At 37.3% G+C, this 23696-nt stretch overlaps 1 annotated feature.

The window, feature by feature from the left end:
* Positions 12443–12612: an enhancer, noted in NCBI's record as "active region_9195". NCBI's record gives its function as "activates an Ori minimal core promoter by ATAC-STARR-seq in GM12878 lymphoblastoid cells {active_cell/tissue: GM12878}" and the evidence as "EXISTENCE:reporter gene assay evidence [ECO:0000049][PMID:35858748]".

A 23696-nucleotide genomic window follows, 5' to 3' on the forward strand; every position in this document is an offset into this window, starting at 1 on the left:
CTACTGGAAAAAAAATCCACAGATATTATGTTTACCATCTTCTCTTCCTGTAAGGATAAGGTAATATTTAAACCAACAGTAATTCATGAACATCTACTGATCATCACCAGGAATGACCAGTATATAGTATTCTAGAACTGTAGGCAGTAGAGCCTAGTGGCTAAGACACAAGCTTTGACGAGAGTCTGGAATCCCCGCCTGTGCACTTAGATATAACCAAACTCTCTAAAAGCTTCAGTTTCTTCATTTGTAAAATTGAAATTATGCCCATCACACAGGACTATTATGATAGTTAAATAAGATTAGTGCCTAATACCTCATAAAGCATAGCTCTAATAAAACTAGTATCGTATATTATAGTTGTATTATGTGTTATATAATTATAATTATATTACTACACCCATTGAAAATTCTACTTGAACGATATACAGCATTAAAAATGTGTGTTTCCTGTGTTAACATAAAAATCACTATAAGGTGTGTAGCTTGGCTTATTATTGCTTTTCTAAAGCTCATTTAGGAAAAGCCATTTTCCAAAACTTAAGAGACAGGCAGAACAAGATCCTCCTTTGAGAGCAGGCATATGTTTAATTGATTGTTTTAGCAGACAGATGTCTGGTTTAACATTCCTCTGCTCGGAGGAGAGGCTCAGAGACAGTGAGCCCATGTTACTTTTGATAGTGACTGAAGCCTTTGCCATAAATACAGCTTCAGCGGCGGCACAGCACAGGAACCAGCCAGGACTTCCACATCTGACTGACGGCTCAAATCCACCATGCACAAGATGAGCCCCCTAAAGGTGCATAGGTTTGTCATACTATAAAAGCTTTCTTTAAGAGGATTGAAATACCTTCTCCGGGTCATTGTTAATTCTTAGTTGTGAAATACCTTCTTCAGGCCATTCTTTTCAGTGAAAGAAAGCATAAAATGCTATTCGAATTTGATCTTTGAAAAAACAAAAAGGCAAAGCAAAAGGAATTTGGGGAAATCACTAGTTTGTTCCTGGATTCTTCCTCTGATTGATGACTGTGACACTTTTTGGGGTGGCTTTTTAAAAGGACATGATTTTCGAAAGCGCACCACTCCTAAACATAAACCTCCTTAGGTCACAGGCAAGTTGTATAATTTCTAAACAATTGAACCAAGTACTGATGCTCCCCTCACAAAACACAGGCCAGTGATGTTGGAGGCAGATTCTGAGTCAGCTCTCCTAGGCAGCTGAAAACACTGTTACAAAAATGCCAGATATCGAAAAATGTGGCTTCTCTCATCTGGGGGCTTCAGAACATTCTGCAAACAATGAACTAAGCTTCCCATCTAAGTTCCAGTTAACTAAGCTTCCAGTTAGATAAGTGGTCTTTTGTTGCTTACAGAGGATTTAACTAATGTTGTTTTGCTTCTTGTAGAAGTTGTTTATTTATTTACTTTACAACATTAAAAAAACTTGAAAGAACACTTACACTGAAGAGAATGATTTCTCCTTCCATAATATATGCTATTGGAAAAATAAAAAAAATTTAAAAATAAATATTAAAATGTGTTTTCACTCAACCACAAATATGAAATTGTAGTACAAACTGTAGCTGGACACCGTGGCTCACGCCGATAATCCCAGCACTTTGGGAGGCTGAGGTGGGCAGATCACTTGAGGTCAGGAGTTCAAGACCAGCCTGGCCAATATGGTGAAACCGCATCTCTACTAAAAATAAAAAAATTAGCTGGGCGTGATGGTGTGCGCCTGTAGTCCCAGCTACTTGGGAGGCTGAGGCAAGAGAATCACTTGAAGCCGGGAGGCAGAGGTTGCAGCAAGCCAAGATCGCATCACTGCACTCCAGCCTGGGCAACAGAGCGAGATTCTGTCTCAAAAAAATAAAATTAATAAATCAATAAGTAAATTGCCCAGACCTACCTATATTCAGCACTCAGAGACTGTCTTTTCTTAGCTTGTTAGTAGTATCTCATGAAATACTAAAAGACAGGGATACCAAGTTGAGGCATATCGGTAGGCTCTTTCAGATGCACTCTCCAAACTTCCAACCTCAATGGGTGGATGAGAACATCTGAAAGAAAACTGGTGGTGTGTGCTGTAACATTGTCCTCAATGCAGTGCCCTCAATAGCTCCTTCTATTGCAAATGTGTTGCGTAAATTATGAAAGGAGGAATTAGAGAGGAAAAAAAAATTACCTCTTTTAACTCAAAATAATAAAAGTTCAGCAGAACAGAAGTTACAGTCCTCAGGAATAACTTTGCAATGGACCCATTTAGCATGATAGAATTCGTGGTATAAAGATAATCCAGACTCTTTTGTTAACTGAATTTGAAAATTTCAAATTAATTTGCATCAGATTCAACCTGGTACCCTATCTTGTTAAAAATATTAAGCCTGACACAACTGTCCTGAAATGGCTTGATCTGATTATTAACTAAAATTGATCTGAGTTTACAATGCAATGAAGTCGAATTACAGAGTTGCCAAAATAATCAGTTCATTCATTCGTGGAGATGTGATGAGGAGATGTGATGAGGAAGGGCTTCTTGTTGGAGATGTGATGAGGAAGGGCTTCCTGACTGCTGTGGGAACCATAACCCCGCATGTGCTGAAATTGGAGGCTCACTAGAGACAGCTTGATTGGCCCTCATCTTCTAGGGCTGGGAGTCAATATCGCCACTTTCAGAGGGCTCGGGTCAGTTCCAGAGCAGCTAATAGGCCCTCACAATGAAAACCCAGTTAGGGAGTTATCTGTTCTCGGATGCCTATGAGAAAGAATGTGTGTCTACACAGTATTTCATCTACAATTTATTGTCTACAGAAACCATTGACACACATACATATGCACACACACTCCTTTATCCTGTGTAGCAGAATGCATTTTAATCAGGAGCTTGGAGGGAGATGCTCAGCATCTTCACAGCACAGGTGAACTGGGCCAATGATGAGCATGTGATACTGTTGTGACTGTGACACCCCTTGTGAAGTTTCATAGAAAGCTTTTCTTCCCTTTACTGTCATCCCCTTCCTTTTGATATAAGGCTGGGATGGTTATAGCTGCAGTGGCCATCAAGACAATGAGGAAAAAGATAAGAAACCACTAGAGCCACTGAGCCCATGTCAACATTGCCAACCCTCAGTCTCCTTACTATGTGAGAAAAATAAACTCCTCTTGTTTCAATTATTATTTATTAGGTATTCTGTTACTTGCACCCAAAAGCATTTCTAACTGACAAAGGAATCTCGTGGCTTTCTAGAATAGAGCCCTTGGTAATTTCTTATACTGCATGGTGGGAGAGATCCAGTTGAAATGTCTAACAAAGTCACTGATTGCTCAGACATATCCAGAAACACTGATTTCTATGCAATCTGAAACTCTTAAGAGTGCTGTGATGGAAGTTAACTTCCCTTGGAGAGAAGAGGGACCCAGTAATTTATTATGGAGCATCACCATCAAATTCAGTCTATAGTAGGATTCTGTGAAAATCTGTCGAGTCCCTGTGCCAGAACTGAAGTCTTCAAAGGCATCATTATTAGTATTGAGGTCAGAATTTTAAAATGAGTTACGGAAAGTAAAAGGCCCCCATAGAGAACTGTGGACAGAAATCCTTGGCCACATATACAATAATTTTGGGATAACCCTTTCCTTTTCCCTCTCTACTCCCCACCTCCAAAAAAGAACACCATGTTCACTGAATTATTCAGTTGAATATATTAGCCAGCTTTCTATTTTGCCAGAACATCTAAAATGTTGCAATGGCAACTTAAGTACTTAATACACATCTCATTCAAATGGGTGTGATTAGCTATTAAAGAAGAGGTAAAGCCTTGTCATGGAGTCGAGGAGCACTGACACCAGATACCTGGGCTTCAATCACAGATCCAGCTCTCACATGTGGTCTGGGTGATGCTAGCTGCTTTGTGTCCTTGTGCCGCAGTTGTCTCATATGTAACAATGGAGATAATAAGTACCTCTTGTGTGTGAATTGTAAAGATTAATGCATTTAATATAGGTAGAGTATTCATAACAGAACCTGACACCTTATAAACACTTGATAAGTATTAGCTATTGCTATTACCCCTTTTCCAGATGGGGTCATTGAAGCTCAGAGAGGTTAGGTAGCTTATCCAAGATTTCCTATCCAGTAATTAGTAAAACTATTTCAAAATGTTCCTCTAGTTTACATAATGTTGTTATAATTTATCTTTTATGCTATTTTAGAAAATGTGGTAAACATTATTAGTGCTCACCGATATTCAATTTTCCCCAACTTCCAGAATGTACAAGAGACTACACAATTTCCAGCCCCCTCGAGGCCACATTACAAATTCTAGCTAATGAAATGTGAGTGATGAGACCTGTATGTGTCAGGGAGACAATGAGAAACATTGCAGGATTCTTCATTCTTTCTCTTCCCTTGCTGTAACACCCAACCAAAGTTCCAGAAGTGGAATCTCCATCACCCTGGAGCACAGATAAACTAAATAGACCAACCTACATACCACCACCACCATCCTACAGCAGTCCTTTTAAAAACAGCAAGAAATAAACCTTTATGTGTTAAGCATTGAGATTTGGGAATTATTACCATAGCATCAGCCTGGTCTATCTCAACTAATAAAGTTTCCAAATATTGTATAACAGAAAAACCAGAGTATTGACTTAATATTCTATTTGATTAATATGACATTATCCCAGTGGCTCATTGATAACTCTTGTTTTTTTAGGGGATGGGGGTTGGGGTGAGGTTCATCTGGCATTATAGCAATGTTATAATGAGCCATAAGGAAAACTTAATGTACATTCTTCTACAGTTTAATTTCCTATGATAAGTAATAATCATGCTGCAAACCTTCAGGACAGATATAAATATTATGAATATCAACAGCTCATAATTGTAGTATTTTAGAAAGCCTTAATGCTATTGTTGCTTAACATTTTTTTCAGGATATTAGAGAAAAATTTATTTTAAAATTATCATGGCCTTTTGAGGTTTAGAAAGGCATTTTAGCTTAACCTGCATGTAAGCAATCTTCAAGAAATCATAATATAAAATGTTTTTATTTCTCTTAACCTAGAGCATACAAATTTGAATCTTAAAAATAGATTAGTTTCCTAAGACACAGTTAAGAAAATGAAAGCATAAGCGACAGACTGGGATGAAATATTTGTGAATTCTAGCTGATTAAAAACTTGTATCCAGAATATTTAAAAACTCTCAATACTCAGTGATAAGAAAACAAATAACCCAGTAAAAAATAATGGGCAAAAGATCTGAATAGTCATTTCACCAATGAAGAGATGTGTTGTGTAAGTACATAAAAAGATACTCAGCATCATTAGTCATTAGTGAAATACAAATGAAAATCAGTGTGATACTACTACATACCTATTAGAATACCTTATATTAAACATTGACATTACCAAATGTTGAGGGAAGATGTGGAGCAACTGGAACTCTCATACATAGCTGGTAGGAATGCAAAATGGTTAACTTGGTTAAACAACTTGGCATTTTCTTATAAAATTAAATACACAGTTACCTTATAACCCAGCAATTCCCCTAGACATTTACCCAAGAGATATAAAGACAAATGTACTCACAAAAACCTCTTCACAAGTATTTATAGCAATGTTATTCACGAATGCCAAAAACTGGAAACAAACCAAATGCCCACCATCTTCTGAATGAATACACAAACTGTGGTACATCCATATGACTGGACACAACTCAGTAATAAAAAAGAACCAACCACAGATGCATACCCCAACATGGATAAATCTCAAAAGACTTATGCTGAGTGGAAGAAGCCAGATTCAAAAGGCTATATACTGTATGACTCCATTTATACAATATTCTGGAAAAGGAGAAACTGTAGGAACAGAAATCAAAGCAATAATTGCCAGGGGTTGAAGATGTGGTGGAGGGGAGGAAACTGACTAAAAAGAAGCATCTGAGAACTTTTTAAAATGTTGTAAATATTCTCCCTCTTAATTCTGGTGGTTGCACACTGTATAAATGTGTTAAAATCATAGAACGCTGTGTGCCAAAAATGAGTGAATTCATAGTAAATTAAACCTCAGTAAAACACCAAAAAGTCAAACAAATGTAAAATTTTAAAAATAGATGATTAATAGTTTCAAATGAATTCTTCAAATTTTAGTAATGTTCTGACAGTTATAAGTTAAGCTTTTTTAATGCAATTCATTATATATAAAATGTTATCTATATTAATTTATTCATACTAACTCCACTTGAAATATGTATATTCAATACATTAAACAATAAAGGCAAAATGGTCTAAGGGCCAAAATGTAAAAGAGTAAGCTGTATTCAAGACAACCAGAAAAAGCAAAATATATATCTTGCTTTAAAGTTTCAGAAAAAAAAGTCATTCAGTACAGTTCAACAAATATTTATTCAGCATATATTGTCTCAATCTGTAAAATAGGCAGCTTTGCACATTTTAATGGCCCCAAAGAGCCGTACTGAATTCTCAAATCTACATTACTTTAAAGTAAGTTAGAAAATACCTTGATGATATTACAGAATCCACTTTCTTAGAATAATACCTGGCCCATAATATGCAAATATATGCATTAGCTATCTTATTATTTAAATTTCTTCCACTCACCATTATTATGCAAGTTTAATAATATCTGTTGAAGTTGCTTTTGTTAATGCTTACCCAGCAGCCACTCATCACCACTGCCACACTTTCTTTCTGCCCCAAGGTCACTTTCATTTAGGTGTTCCCTGTCCCTTAGATGGCCATGTACTTTCTCAAAGGAAAAGAATACCAATCCCAGCCCCAAGGGACATGTCATGATTAGTATAAGCCAGTCATGGCGCCCTCCTTTCCTTACCATTAACTGGTGTAGCGCGGGCATATGATGCAAATTGGATGAAACCAAATAGAAAGTCTTCTGGAGGGCTTCTGGGAAAGGTATTCTTTGCTGATTAAGAACCACAAAGGGAGAAACAACCTCTCTTCTACCATTTGTGGTAGCCTCTGGATAAAATGTGGGAACTGCTACAGCAATCCAGCAACCAGGAGCAGTGCTAGACTGCAGAAGAGCCAACTCACTGAAAATGACAAGGCAGAAAAATGCAAGAAGCCTGGCATGGTGCCTCCTCCCTGTAATCCCAGCACTTTGGGAGGCCAAGGCAGGAGGGTTGGTTGAGCCCAGGGGTTCAAGACCAGCCAGGGCAACAGGAGGAAATCCTGTCTCTCCAAAAAAAAAGAAAAATTAGCTGAGCATGGTGGTATGCGCCTGTGGCCACAGCTACCAAGGAGGCTGAAGTGGGAGAATCAACAGCCCCGGAGGTGGAGGTTGCAGTTAGCCAACATAGCACCACTGCACTCCAACCTGGGCAACAGCACCAGACCCTGTCTAAAAAAGTTAACTAATTAAATAAATTTAATTAAAATGGAAGAAGCCTAAGACTCTCCTGATGTCCCTGAGTTGCTGCATCAATCCCAGAACTCTTCTACCTCCACATCTCCTGTCATCTGAGATGATACATTTTCTTTACTCCTTAAGCCAGTTGGGTCAGGTCTTTCTGTTATTTGGAGCCAAAAACGTCATAACTGATACATCTTACAACACATACATTGTTTTTCATGGGCTGGTGAGGGAGTGGGAAGCTAAGATCACAGAAAAGGAATCAGGGGATGCCACATTTATTTTTCAGTCCTTGAACATACAGAATAATATTTATTTTAGTTATTAAAAATAAGGATAAGATACTAATATAAAATGTTGATAATAAGGGAAACTGGATGCAGGGTATATAGAAACTCTATGTTCACAGCTTTTCTGTAAATCTAAAACTGTTAGAAAATAAAAAGGTTATTTGCAAAAAGTGATAAAACATAACACAGTAGATACACAAAAAACAGTTTTTAAATTGAAATTCATGTATAGTAATATTTTACGTGTGAGCAGCTTTTATGGCAAAATTTCTTTACTTATATAGTCATTTCCATGCATATCCCTGCAGAGTTAAAGCACTTCCTAAAAATGTGAGGGAGAACAGGAATTACTGTGTCCATTCAATAGATAAGAAAACAATCATACTGGAGAGATAAAGGGACGTGCAGGAGGCCACACAGTAATTAGTGACAAAGCCGAGAATAGACCTGGCCTCCCATACAGACAACTTTGCTTTTTCCTCTTTCTCCTCTTAAAACAGGAAGACTCTTTTACAAAGCTCATGGAAACAGAAAATTTTCAGTTTGGTGGAAACTATTCAGACTATCTGATCACAGAGTGATAATTCAAATGCTATGAGGTGAAGAATTTTTTTTTCTCTCTTAATTTTGAAAAGAACGTAACTGGAAAATCAATTGATTGAGCAAAAAACTCATTATACCAAGCACCCCCAAACACCTCAACTTTCACCAGACCTTAGCAACTTACAGTATATACACAGTATGCTTAATTTCAATGAAAAGATGACTTTATACAATTCTATTTCTTAAATAAAACTAATCATATTCATTAGAATAAATGTATAAACAATGGGCAAAATTATCATATATGTCTCTTTCAACTACTTTGCTAAATATAAAAACATTCTTATTCTGAAAGCCTTATTCATTTAAATTTTTTCACATAAATTACATGATGTGATGAAGTATAAGCTGAATATTGTCCAGTGAGGTCATATGTGAATTCCTGATGGGCTGTATAAAAACTTTGCCTAGTGTCATACTGGAACACAAAGACTCCTTTGATTATTTAAAAAAAAAAAAAAAGGAAAAGGAAAAAAGGCAGAAGATTATATCTACCAGAAGGGTCTGAAGGAAAATTAAGGCCAGAACATTAATAACTTTACTCAACAAAAAACTAGTAGATCATACCAGAGACCATCAAGTGTTCTCCCTGCATTTTAAGGAGAGGCAGACAACTGTCATTCTGTTGTGACAGGCAGCTGAAAGAGATCTATACCTCCACAAAGCATATTGACAGAAGATTGATTAATGACAGTGAAGAGAGCTTTGCTCTTGACATACTTCATGGTCTGTGATTAGGCCAGTGGGCTCAAGAGTGGGGAGCATTTATCCAAGAGTATATGTAGAAAAGGTATATTGGAACCTCTATTTGCTTTTTAATCTTAAAAAATAAAAACTTAATTTTACTAATATTTAATATATTTTACTAATTTTACCAATATTTTCCAATATTTGTAAGTAAATACTAACAATTTATAAACAATTTGTAAATAAATGCATAGAGTTTAAGGGTGTGTGCACAATTTTTTCCCCTGACAGCAGTATGTGACCAATAACAGCAAGGATCTATAGGTACCATCTATGAGTGTCCACACTCACTTAATACAAATTACACACTCACTTTGACATGGCCGTCCAAATATATTGATCTGCTGTGTCTTAAGTACTTCCAAGGCACATACTCACTTTTCAGATGTCTAGTCTCAACCTCACAGTGATGTACTATTGTAGTCTAGGTACCACAATAACAGAGAGCATACTATAGTTTAAGTGTGATGTGCCATTTTGCAAATGCCTAAGTATTACATTTAGAAGATTAATATACTACACCACAGGACAGTAAAAATAAGAAACCAACTGACTTTGTAATTATTAGATCCACTGGTCAGTAGTGCTATGGTGGCAGATACTAAAATAGGAAGACAGACTATAAATAAGCCAACCAATGAATAAGCGTGTCAATGTTAAATAGTGATAAATGCAGTGAAGAAAAGAGAATAGATGTGAGAGAGGCTGGGCACAGTGGCTCATGCCTGTAATCCCAACACATTGGGAAGCCAAGGCAGGAGGATTGCTTGAGCCCAGGAATTTGAGACCAGCCTGGACAACATGATAAGACCCTGTTTCTACAGAAAATTAAAAAAATTCACCAGGCATGGTGGCACACACCTGTGGTTTCAGCTACTTGAAAGGCTGATGTGAGAGGATCACTTGAGCCCAGGCAGGCAACAGAGCTGATCTCAAAAAAAAAAAAAAAAAAAGAAAAGAAATAAAGACGACAGAAAAATACATATTGTAAGTTGAAATGCATTTTTTTTTTTTTGAGATGCTGTCTCACTCTGTTGCCAGACTGGAGTGCAGTGGCACAATCTTGGCTCACTGCAACCTCTGCCTCTTGGGTTCAAGTGATTCTCCTGCCTCAGCCTCCCAAGTAGCTGGGACTACAGGCAGTGCCACCACGCCCAGCTAATTTTTGTATTTTTAGTAGAGACGGGGTTTCACCATGTTGGCCAGGATACTCTCAATCTCTTGACCTTGTGATCTGCCCGCTTTGGCCTCCCAAAGTTCTGGGATTACGAGCCACTGTGCCCAGCCTTGAAATGCATTTTATCTACCTAACCTACTGAACAACATAGCTTAGCCTAGCCTACCTTAAACATGCTCAGAACACTTACATTAGCTGACAGTTGGGCAAAATCATCTAACACGTAGCCTATTTTATAATAAAATGTTCAGAATGGCTGTATGGATACTTGAAGTATGGTTTCTACTGAATGCCTATTGCTTCTGAATCATTGCAAAGTAAAAAAAAATCATAAGTAGAACCTTCTTAAATTGGGGATTGTCTGTATATTTTACCAAAATAAAAAAATTAGGTTTAAAGAATAAAAAGAGAGACCAGGCAAGAAATGATGGTAGCTTGGCCTAGGTTAGTAAAAGCGGATAGATATAGAATGTATTTTGGAGGTAGGACCTGGAGGACTTTTGGATAGATCAAGGGAGGCAAAGAGGAGGAAAAGTGAGAAGAAAACAGCACTCAAGAGTGACTTCTAGGTTTTTAACTTGAGCATGTGGTTAGATGGTGGTTCCATTCACAGAGCTGAGGAAGACCTGGGGCTTGTGATGGTGGTGAAGAACAAGTGGAGGAGAAATCTAGAGTTCTGGATATAGTAAGTTTGAGATGCCTACTGCCATACAACCAAATGCAGGTGTCAAACTGATAGTCAAAGAGTAAGTCTGGAGGTCAGAGGGAAGGGGGACTGTCCTGGAGATATGATCCTGGAAGTCATTCATATATAAAGACCTAAGAAGAGAATGTAGTGAAAGAAGTTGGCCTTGCCATTATACTTGGCTTGAAAGCTCAGAATATATTATATAATCCAAGAAGATAGACTATCTTTTTTTTGTTTTGTTTTGAGATGGAGTCTCGCTCTGTCGCCCAGGCTAGAGTGCAGTGGCATGATCTCGGCTCACTGCAACCTCTGCCTCCCAGATTCAAGCAATTCTCTGCCTCAGCCTCCTGAGTAGCTGGGATTACAAGTGCCCACCACCACGCCCAGCTAATTTTTGTATTTTTAGTAGAGACAGGGTTTCACCATCTTGGCCAGGCTGGTCTTGAACTCCTGACCTTGTGATCCACCTGCCTCGGCCTCCCAAAGTGCTGGGATTACAGGCGTGAACCACCACTCCCAGCCTGATAGAATATCTTTGAACATAAAATACTTAAACAATGATTTTGTGTGTGAACAAGAGAAAGTTGGGTAAGATGAGAAGAAAATAAAGTCTTCATAAGGCCCCTGAAGAATTCCCAACTTCTCCAACTCTGGTGAGTGGTTTTGTATAAATGCTTACAGTCTTTAATGTTTCTTCCAGCTCTTTTGTATTTGCTTTGTAATGATAACTAACTTTGCTTATGTAGATATTGGCTTTTCAACTAATATGTCCGAAGGTGAAGAACATGTGTAGTAATAACTACACTGCTGCAATTAACAAAATACCCTATACATGAAAGACACTCAATATCTATATCCACTGATGGACTAATACCATAGGGAGACCACTAAGCTAGTTCTCCAGTAAGGACAAGAGTTTCTTGTCCTGAGGAAAATAGCAGGATAGAATGTGATCTTGTAATTATTGACAATTTTTTTCAGGGGCAGCATCTCACTGTTTGTGCCTAAATTGCCTCAGAAAAAGAAAACAGTCTAAATTATTAAAACGAAATGGCAAAATCAGGTCATTGCCACTTTTCACTGTGAACTGAATGTGTTTGAAACAATAGGAACTTGAAAGGTTACTCATTAGTAAAGATTTTATTTAATTAAAAAAGTGTCTTTGATGATCATAAAGTGATGAGCAGGAAAATCTCTGCATCAATGTCCTCTGCTGTTCCGTTTCAAGTCAAATTCAAAACATGTCAGCCATACTCATCATTCACACTCACACTCATTCACTCCACCAACGTTCACTGATTAACTACATGAACCAGGTATGCATCATTGACTTACCTTTAATTTTCAAGTAACTCATTGTTATGTTCACAGTCTGGTTTCCTTGTGTGTAATGTGAAGAGGAAAAGACATTTTCAGGATCTTAGTGCCTGTAGATAATACACAGAACAAAAGTAAGGTTTCCTCCAAATCAGAATTTATTAAGTTGGGAAACATTTAAATATTACATGATGGAAAATTATTGATTTGTAAGTAAATAAAGCATTCCAACATGACTGAAAGATTTCTCCTAGGTTAAAGATTTGGGTGATGACATATGTCAAAAGCAGATACTTTACTAATGACATTAAAACATCTAGAGAAGGAAATGGCCTTTCTGAAGAGTCATACTGAAAGTTGACTGGAAGTCACATTGAGTCAGAAGTAAAGCAGCTGGCAGTGGGTGACCAGCACAGCCAAGGGCTAGAAGGCCAAGTTCTCACAGCCAGCCCATCAGGTCCCACTGGTAGGTCTTTGCTACTGGAGGTGAATGCATCTGGTTAGCAAGGCCATTGAAATTTGAATCATATGACTAATCTCCCATGTTCTGATTCCATACATTTCAAGCCTATTTCTCATTACAATTTAGATTCTTATTTAGATTTTCCTTTGCCGGTGAGAAAGGCTTCTTATTATATATTTTATTTTAGCATTCTGATTTACATATCAGGCTCATGTGAGCTTGGTACATGTGAGTCTCAGGATGCTGAATACATCAATTTCAGAGCCTGCAAATCTGAAAAGGCTGTACTTTAAATTCATCAAGATGAATGCCAAACTGTGAGGTTGTTTGGCAGGCAGCCAGCTAACCTCCCCAAGCAACACCTAACCATGGTGGAGTTGCAATTGCTAGCCTTCACAGAATTTTAAAGCAATCTTGGTATAAATAATCTTACCATGTCTGTTAGTAATACTTCAACTTTGACACTTTCTTTTTTCCTCAACAGGTAATCTAACTTCTTGGGTTTTTATTGTGTTCTATTTTGGATTTTTTTAAAGGCATAAATGGAGAAAAGTAGTCATAATTTCTGTTTCACCTTGAGATTTATTTCCTACAAATCCAGGAGGCACTTCATGCCTAACATGCAGATCTTTAAGCCCAGGGTCCCCGTTGCTACATACCCTCCTAAAACTGGTGAAAATCATCATTTTCTCACCCTAAGAAACCTCAGAATAAATAGCAGCAAAAGTTTGCGACATTGCCCCATGCACAAGGTTAAAAACACAAGTAGGAGATCTCAATACTGCAGCTGAGAGGTCATGTAAGTGTGATAGAGCAAAAACAAACCAGCCTATACCTTCGGATTTGCGAGTGAATTCTTCTAATGAGAGATGTCAGATGCTTGTTACTACAAAATAAATGCCTTTTGGCTGCCTTTTTTTTTCTCTTCCTCCTGATTAAAAAGAAAGCAAAACTGTAACACAATTCTTAAACACATTTTTAAAAGTATCATCATTGCTAATGCTTTTTTTTTTTTACAATTCAGTTCATCACTGCAGGCAAATCCGTTTCTCATTCATAAATTCCCTGATTGTCAAAACAATGTAGATAATCGTTTATCATAATGTAATATATCCTGGAAAGCAATCATAACATAAAGAAGACTTTCTCTTATGTAAAGGACAGCCTATTTTAATATATTTTAAAGGCAAGCCCTGATTGGCTATTCACTAATTTGTTGCTATGAGCAACATAATATTTTATTTTGGAAACCTTCAGGATTTCAGTTGCTCTGCAGTTTTGTGTCTGAATTTGTGAACTATTTTCTTCTCTCTGTCTCTTTCTCAGCTTTGGTGCTTGTTGTTTTCCAGGTAGGAACATTTAATATTTTATCTAAATATATTCCTGTTTAGAATTGTAAAATAATGTATAACATCCATGAATCACATAAAGGTATGTAGATTTTTACTTAGCATGTTTGAATCCCTAGGGGCAGACAGGAAAACAAACTGGTTGACTTACCCCAGACAGAATTTATTGATAGCACATTGGTTTCCAAGGACTGCTATAACAAAATACCATGAACTAGGTTGCTTAAAACAATAGAAATTTACTATCTCACAGTCCTTCCTTGCCTCTCCCAGCTTCTGGTGTTTCCCAGCAATCCTTATCCTTCCTTGGCTTGTAGATCGATCACCCCAATCATTGCCTGTGTAGTCACGTGTCATTCTCACTGTGTATTTGTGTGTTTCTTCTCTTCTTATAAGGATTCCAGTCATATTGGATTATAAATCCACTCTAATTTAGTATAACCTTATCTTAATTTGATTATATCTGCAAAGACCTTATTTCCAAATAAGGTCACATTTACAGGTACTGAGAGCTAGGGAAGTTTGAAGATACTAAGTTGAGAAGGCTAAGATCCAGGAACATGCTGGGCAGCACTTGTGGCTGAGTTGTGTGACGTCTAGTCTTTTGTTTATCCAAGAATCAACGTTGCAAGACTGTCATCTGAATAGCCAGGCTTGGATCACATGTGCCCAACTCTTGACAGCACTGAGGCAGGAAACGGGAAATTCTGTCTTCTTCAGCTGCTATATTTTGAGGAGACATCTGAGTTAGCTCTCAATAGGGAAGAAGCCATGCTCCAAAAGGAGCCAGCTGCTGTTAAAAAGGGGGAATGAAGTCTGGGCTGCCAAAAATGAAAGAATTCTACCTTACCACTTTTATGACTGCTTATAAATCAGATATAACAAAAAAATTAAATTCTGCAGATTCACCACAGCTTGACTGCATGACTTCAGGATATACAAAAAATCAGATATACAAGTCAAAAATCACTTGCCTAATACCTTTGGGCCCACATGCATTTCAGAATTTAGAATTTTTCAGAGTTTAGAAAGGTAATATGATGCACATACCATTTGTAACATCCCAGCAGGGTGTGCAACAGCATCCCATAATCAAATGTATAAATATTTCTGCAGTGAATTTTTTAAATATTTATACTAAATGATAGAAAAGACCAAAAATAGCCTCATGCCAGTTTAGTTAGGTTTGGGCACTAAATGAGTTGAGGTCAGATCAAGTTTTACAACCAAATTAGATGTTTCTAAAAATTGGAGGTTTTCAGAGCTTTCTGGATTTCAAAACTATGGATAAGGGAATTGTAGAGTATACTTTTTCCTGAAGTTCGCAAAGTCATGAAAGCTAAGCAAATCTAAGTTAGGCCAACAGTAAAACATACAGGGTAATTCTACTATAATCTACAACCTACATCTAAACTTAATCTACAATCTATAATCTGCTCTCTAAACTCTCAATCTAAGATCTCAATCTATAATCTACAACCAGTATATAAACTCAGCATACGGTCAGTATATGCAGTCTTCAGTTGTTGTCATGTGGCCTTGGGCCCATGACATAGCCAAGGAAGAAAAGTGAAAACCTGAGAAAGAGCACTTGTCTTCTAAATAGGTCATTTAAGGATATGTTCATGCCATACATCATTCAAATGGAAGTTAGATATCTTCATATTAACTAAATTCATACCTGTAATGTTAAAATTTAGAGACCTGTAGTTATTTCTTTTTGTGTGCGTGTATTGTCATCATTTTTTCTGACTATAAAAGAAAAAGTAATCTCTGTAAGTCAATTGCATCTCCATTGTAAAATAATCCAATTTTATTCTATGAACATTATTATTACGTGGAAGAAGGAAGAGAAATTACTTATGACCAATATCAGAATGGTTTGATTTTTCTTGGTTCTGCCTTTGTTTTCAGTAGTCCATACATTGTCCTGCTCAGGGTATAACAAGACCCAAGTCACAAAAGGAAGAATTATAGTTTGTCTTTGAGAAATAAACTTTAACAAAAACTATTTTTAAATATGTTAATTCCTACTGAGAAAAACAAAGAAGTCTGAAATAAATAATATCAGATTCATGAATCTGAAGACTTAATGTTGTTAAGATGTCAGTTCTCAACAAATTGGTCAATAGACTCAATGCAATCTTAAGCAAAATACCAGCAGTGTTTTTTTTTCTAGAAGTTGATGGGTTAATTCTGAAATTAACATTGAAATGCAATGGACCTAGAATAACCGAGACGATTTTGAAAAAGAAAAATGAAATTGAAGAACTAATCTACCTAACTTCAAGACTTAGTATAGAGCTTCAGGAATCAAGGCAGTGTGCTAAATAGACACATAGATCAATAGAACAGACTAGAGAGTCTGGAAATAGACCCAGACTTAAATGCCAACTGATTTTTGACAAATGTGCTGAGGCAATTCAATGCAGAAAACATAGGTATTTCAAAATATAATGCTGGAACAACTATACATTTATAAGGAGAAGGAAATCTAGACCCCCTGCCTCACACCATATGCAAAAATTAACTCAAAATGGATCAGAGCCTAAACATGAAAGATAAATTTATGAAATTATTTTTTAAATAAGACAAAAAGATTATTTGATCTTGACAAAGATTTCTTAGATAAACCACAAAAAGCATGTATCATGATAGAGAAATGATAAATTGGACTTCAATGAAATGAAAAACTTCTGTTCTTTGAAACACACCACTAATAAAAAGAAAAGGCAAACCATAGCCTAGGAGAAAATGTTTACAAAACATATTTGACAAAGATTTGTATCCAGGATATGTATTTTAAAAACACTTACAACTCAGGGGTTGTAAGAAGACAAGCTCTCTAGGTTTAGAAGCTGGGCAAATGATTTGAACAGGTACTTCACAAAAGAATATGTACAAATGGCCAATAAGTACGAGAAAAAGTGTTCAACATTATTAGTCATTAGGAAAAATGCAAATAAAAACCACAAAATATACACACCCATTAGAATAGCCAAAGTTTTAAAGACTGACAATATCGAGATTTGGGGAGAATATGGAAAAATTGAAATTTTCATACATTGTTAGTGGGGAGGTAAAACGGTGCAACACTTAGACAGTTTAAAAATTTCTTAAAATTTTAAACATACATTTACCCTATGATCCAGCAATTCCACCCTTGGATATTTATCCAAGAGAAATGAAAACATGTGTCAACACAAAGACTTGTAATGAACATTTATATGAACTTAATTCATAGTAGCCAAAAACTGGAAACAGCTCAAACATCCATCAACATGTAAATGGATAAACAAATTGTTGTACTTTTCTCTTAAAATTGATTCATTTTTATTGTATGTAAATGACATCCCCAAATAGTTGATTTTTTTCAAAAACTGTATTAACTCTGATTACTGAGACTTTAATGCTCTGGTGCCAGGTAGGGACTATCCTTAATACTGCTCTGGTAGGACCATTTTTTTAGGTCAGCGGTGTTACTGATAAATATGACATTCACATTTGAAGTATTTATTTGAAATATTTGAGAGAAGCATTGTTTAGAAACATTGTGAACATTAACAAATTGAAGTGAATTGTGCATATTATCATAATTAAATGAAGGAAAATTACATAAAAGCAATCCCCACATTTAAAAGTGAGCTTAGAGAGTGTCTTAGTTTCCAAGGACAACTATAACAAAATACCACAAACTGAGTGGCTTAAAACAACAGAAATTTATTGTCTCACAATTCCAGAGACCAGAAGTCTAAAATCAAGGCATTGGCAAAGCCACTCTCCCTCTGAGAACTGTAAGGGAACCCTTCCTTGCCTCTTCTAGTTTCTGGTGGTTTGCTGACAATCTTTAGCATTCCTTGGCTTGCAGCTTCATTACTCCAATCTCTGCCTTTGTTATCATGCGTTATCTCCCTGTGTATCTCTATCTTCAGATGACCGTTTTCTTATAAAGACATCAGTCACGTTGAATTAGTGGCCCATGCTGTTCCTTTATGACTTCATCTTAACTAATTACATCTGCAATGACCTTACTTCCAAATGTAGTCACATTTTGAGGTACTAGGAGTTATTTGGAAGGGATACAACTCAACCCATAACAACTGGTAAAAATGTGGAAATCACCCGTATTTTCAACAGGACAAGAGAATCTGGTTCTCTCTCTCATTGACCAGAGGTAAGTGATTTATTAATTCATTCCATCACTTATTCAGTAATCCATTCCTCTATTCATTAATTTAATAAACATTTATAGAACACCTACAATGTGTCAAGTCTTATGCTAGACACTGAGGATGCAAAGAAGAATAACAAGACCCTACTGTTGTAGAACTAGGGTGTCATCAAGGTAAGAGACAAGTAAACAAATACTTAAAATACCTGTTGGATATGTCATCATGAAAACTTATTCCAAGTTGCAAGGTGGCAGAGAGAAGAGAGTATTTATGCCTGGGCATTTCTGAAAGATAATAGCATTGGAGCTGAGGCCTCCACAAGCAGCAGTCTTTCTCTAGGAAATATATGGACAAGGGTTAGGGCACAGAGATTGTTTTTTCCAGGCAAAGAGAATAGCATCAAAATGACATGGAAGTGTGAAAAAAAATACAGCATGTTCAGGACATTATTAGCAGGTCAGCATTATTGGGTGGCATGTTGCATGGGGTTATGAGGAAGGGCAGTGAAAAAGCCTAGAAGAAAATCTGGGGTCAGATAATAAACAGCACATGACAGAAATGTAGATGTTAGTCTACAGGAAGTACAAAGCCAATTGAAGATTTTTAAGCAAGGAAGTAATAATAATATTTGTATTTGTAAGCAGAGAAATAACAACCATACTCATGGAGGTGGAATTTATTAAAATGAGAGTCTAAAAGGGAGGCCAATCAGATGGCCTACCTGAATTAAGGCAACGGCAGGAGAACAGAAAAACAAGGAGTGGCTTCAGGAGATATTTAAAAGGAAGACTGAATAGAAATGGTGACTGAAGAAAAGGGAGAATTCAGTAATTTAAAGCACTGAGTGTAAAAGAGGATATGGGGAAGAAAATGACATTTTTCAAATTTGGATTATTTATTTATGTTCCTCTTTGTTGTATAAATGGATTTGGGGGTGCCTTGCCGGGGTAGAAACATTACAAAATGTTTGTTTAAAAAATGAAATAAATGAGGAAATGAAGGTGAAGAGAAGTAAGTTGAAGTCAAGATTAAAATTAGCACTCAAAATGCATGCTGTATGATGTATATGATTACTTGAAGAAAGACTGATTTGGCTTGACGTTTCTGAAGGGCGAGAGCAAAGAGAGAAGTTGTCTCAGTGCAAGATCCACATTGTCCTGAGGATAAAAATAAAGACCCAGCTTTCTCTGGCACTGAGAGTGGAGAAAATTTCTCCTGTAAGACAAGGGCCAATGTTTACTACCCATCAAGGTGAAAGAGCTACCAAGACAAGCAGACAGATGAAAATATGAATCCAGAATTCAAGAGAGAGGCTGGGCACCCCAATTCCAGACTTGGAAATCCTTGCCACTAGGTGCTTGTGTTCTTCAAAATTTTTCACTGTTACCTCTTACACCACCACAGGGATTTCATTAGCAGTAGAAAGCACATTTCCTTCTGTTAAAAGTGAGAATATTGAAGATTATCAGGTGAAAGACTACACCAAGACAACTGTCACTAGGTCGTGTTTTCCCAAAGGAACTTCAGATGATTCTAACACCTCAATTTGCATGGTGCAATTCAATGTGAGAGTCAGAGTGGTACCACTCCTAACTCTACTTTTGCACTTAAAACTGTCCAAGTTCCACCCACAGTCAGCAACAAAGGTGTGTACTTGTCCCTAGTGTGTGGAACAATGACTGAGAAGTCTGTTGCCAACACTCTCTTTAATGTTGTACGTGTGTGTCAGGTTAATTCAGTCCTGAGCTAATGATATCAGAAAAAAGAGGCAATATTTAGCCATGACCAAAACTTACTTTTAAGATAACTAATGTTCACCATATGCTCATCCATGCTTCCTTGAAAAGTAAGAAAAACTTTCAGGTTTTCCCTGTTGCTGACTTAGAGAAAGAACATGTATGCAAGTGATTTAAAATCTTGACTAACTCCATTCCCCTGTTTGGACTTACAGCTATCAGCCTCACAAACAAAATCAAAGTACAGACTTTGGAGAATCCATATGCACTTTAAGAGACATTTAAGGGAATTCATTACTGCTGTTTAACTTTTTAAGCACATCCTGATGGCATCTGCCTAGAATTCCCCCAGAAACCACTGGGTTGAAATCTTTATCAGTTTCATGTATAGTATCTCTGAAACCATCTGGTTCTGAACAGTTTAGAGGACAGAGTCAAGCAAGATCTTTCTAGTAGTTCTCTCCCTTTTGATTATCTAAAGTGTTTTTCTCCTCACCAAGTAGAACATGTCAAAGCTTTCATGTTATTCTATAGTGGTTCCTGACTTTATAATATGGTGCTTTGAAATATGCCTGCCCTGGCTGAGCACAGTCGTTCACACCTGTAATCCCAGCACTTTGGGAGGCCGAGGTGGGCAGATCACAAGGTCAGGAGTTCAAGACCAGCCTGGCCAGCATAGTGAAACCCCATCTCTACTAAAAATACAAAAATTAACAGGGCGTGGTGGCACACACATGTAATCCCAGCTACTCAGGAGGCTGAGGCAGGAGAATCGCTTGAACCCAGGAGGCGGAGGTTGCAGTGAGCCGAGATCATGCCACTGTACTCCAGCTTGGGCGACAGAGCGAGACTTTCTCAAAAAAAAATAAAAAAAACCCACAAACACATTGTACAGTGGAAATACATCTGCCCTTATTTAGATGGGGTTTGCACTTACAATTAAAACACATAACAATAATATCCATTTGGCAGTATGTCTTTATGCTGCAATGCTACTAATTTTTTTACGTTTCCACCATGAAGAGAATAGAAATTCAGCTTCTCTATCACTAAGTAATGAGTTTCAAAGTCAACAAAAGGATAAAATATTGATACCCATTGACATCTGAGCTTACAGACCTTTGCTTCCTTTCTAAAGCAAAAATATGTTATTAATAAACAGTTATACAGGCACAGCATGGAAAATAAATTTCAAAGAACAGCAGTGTAAATGCTGTATTTTGCTTTCAGGTTCAGTGGATTTTTATCTTGAGTAATAGCTTAAAAGATTAACCAGCTATTCATTTCATAAGCTTGAACACACACCTCACAGTAGAAAACAAATTGGCATTTGGAGTTCCTGAATAAAGTGCTATTCAAAGTGGCTCCATAGGCATTAAAACATAGAGTTAGTTTTGTGAATGCCATCAGTGAAAAATCTTTCTCGTGTAAAGAAAGCAGTAGGAATAAACTTTAAGTCAAAGGCAAGTTCTTCTGGTCCCTCATCCACAATGTTTATCCCAGTGGGATATGATACACTCTGTGCAATTGCTATGTTCCACAATAATTATAAAGAGCAATAACATGTGATATGAATAGAACATGTAACAAAGAACAGCAGTAGATGGTAAAATAACCACTGGTTATGTCAAAACTAATAACTTATTTTGCTCATGCAGAGTCAATGAGTTAAGAGGTCAAATGAGCCCTGTTGTTTAAGCCTAATAGTACACATGGCTTTTCTGGTTCATCATTTTCAAGTTCCTTCAGAACTGTTTTAAGGATTATGTGAAATCGACTGGGTTTCATCAATGGCTTAGGTAAGAACATGTGCTCATGTTTTCGAAAGTAAGGTCCAAGATATTCAATGTAAGCATTTGCCTTTTTGCAGCTTCTGGGAAGAGGTGGAGTGTTATAAGACCCCTTGTCATAAATATAGCATTCACTATCATAGAAAATAGTATCCATCTTTCTTAGGAATGGAGGTAGTTGTACAATATGACACCCAACACATCTTTAAAATGTTATGTATCATAGTGTACTTTTAAAAAGCAGTGTACTTCTCATTGATCTTCCCATTTTACTTGGATTTAAAATGCAGATCTTTTCCTCCTTTTGAAATCTTTGCATTTTTATTCATAAATGTATAGGGGGAATCCATTTCAGACATATGCAGCCTCATAAATTATGTTTGGTAGTTGAAACAGTATGTACTTATGTCATGGATTGAACATCCTCCTTTATTAGAATGCTATTTATTGCCACCAGCTGCACTGCTTAGCTAAGAAAGTTCTTGACACCAGCGATTGCTTTTCAGCACCACTGCTTCCGGCTGCTAACAGGGGCTTCTATTTCCAAATGAAGCCACCCCTCTGAGCTCTTCCTTCTGCTACATAGATACCTCCTGTCATCGTGATGTTGGAGAATCGATGGGGGATGGGACTGCACCCACCCATGCTCTATGATCTCCCAGGCTGTAAATCTCTCACGGCTTTGAGATTTCTCACCTAATAGCACTGGCCTGAGAGCTGTCACATGCATTCAGGGAATCTACCCAACAGTAATGGATTTTTCAAAATTAAGATGTGAATTTAGCTTGTGAGCAAAGGGTGTTTCAGAGTCACTGGCGTGTATTTCAGAAGAGAAGCATGGTGCATATCAGCAGTAGACACTGGTCTCTATTTTATTACATTTTACAGCAGGGAAAACTAGACAAAGGTAATTACTCTTCTTCTGTTAAAGACTATTATTACACTTGCATGAACAGTTAACCCTGCTGTTATTTTCTCTGCTGCCTGTGTCGATGACATCCAGACCATCCAAGCAGGAAAGGTATAGAAATGGGGGTCTCAGCTCATTTCCAATTGCACAGTAAGTCCACTTTGAAAGGTAATCTTCTAAACCACAAATGTGTGTACCAACACACAAGCTCGTTCCATTATTTGTTGACGGAATCTTTGTCCGTGTCTTCTGCATGCCAGTTTGAGCACTGGCTCCTTTTTATAATGTTTCCACACATAATTGGGCTCCCAGAGCCCACAAAGCTAACAGCAGCAGTCAGTGACAGGAGGAGACCTCCCTCTGTTAACATGGAAACAGAATTTCCTTGCTCTCCTCTAGAAAGGAAATTCCCTCTAGGTCAAGGTTGAGGCTGTCTGCAGTGTGGGGAGGACGAGATTACACAGAAGATTCCTTAACCTGTGGTCCTGGAGAGCTCTCTTGAAGTGGTGTCAGGCCCTCAACCCTTCATAAGCAGCAAATTTCTCCCCTTGACTAAACAAGAGGACAAGCAGAAAATTGATTTCTAGACATTACCTTTGAGATACAGACTGAAAATTCGAACTTCAGGGCACTTCTTGCCCCAACCAAAAGCTCAGGCAAAGAAAAGCCCTACGTGTCTTCCATTTCAGGTTTGGAATTGCAGCTGTTAAACCTAAGATCTCATTTTCAGAGAGAGTCACTCTCCTCATTAGATTTTGCTTCTCATTCAACAAGGGACTGGCTTAAAGCCATGCAGTTGTGTGGCCATTATTCACAATAACTTTCACCTGAGTTTCACCAACTACTCGGCGACAGGTATTATTATCTCCATCATGACAGGACAGAAACCAGAGCACAAGATTGTCACCTCTGATTTCCCAAGTGCCATCCACTGTCTCAGAGGAGCTGACAAGGATGCTGGACACTCAACTTGATTTTTTGTTTGTTTGGTTTTGTTTGGTTTTGCTTCTGCTTGGGCCAGTCTCAATATCAGGTTGAATAGAAAGAGCAGAAAGG

The sequence above is a fragment of the Homo sapiens genome, chromosome 15 (genome assembly GCF_000001405.40).
Source record: "Homo sapiens chromosome 15, GRCh38.p14 Primary Assembly".
Lineage (NCBI taxonomy): Eukaryota > Metazoa > Chordata > Mammalia > Primates > Hominidae > Homo > Homo sapiens.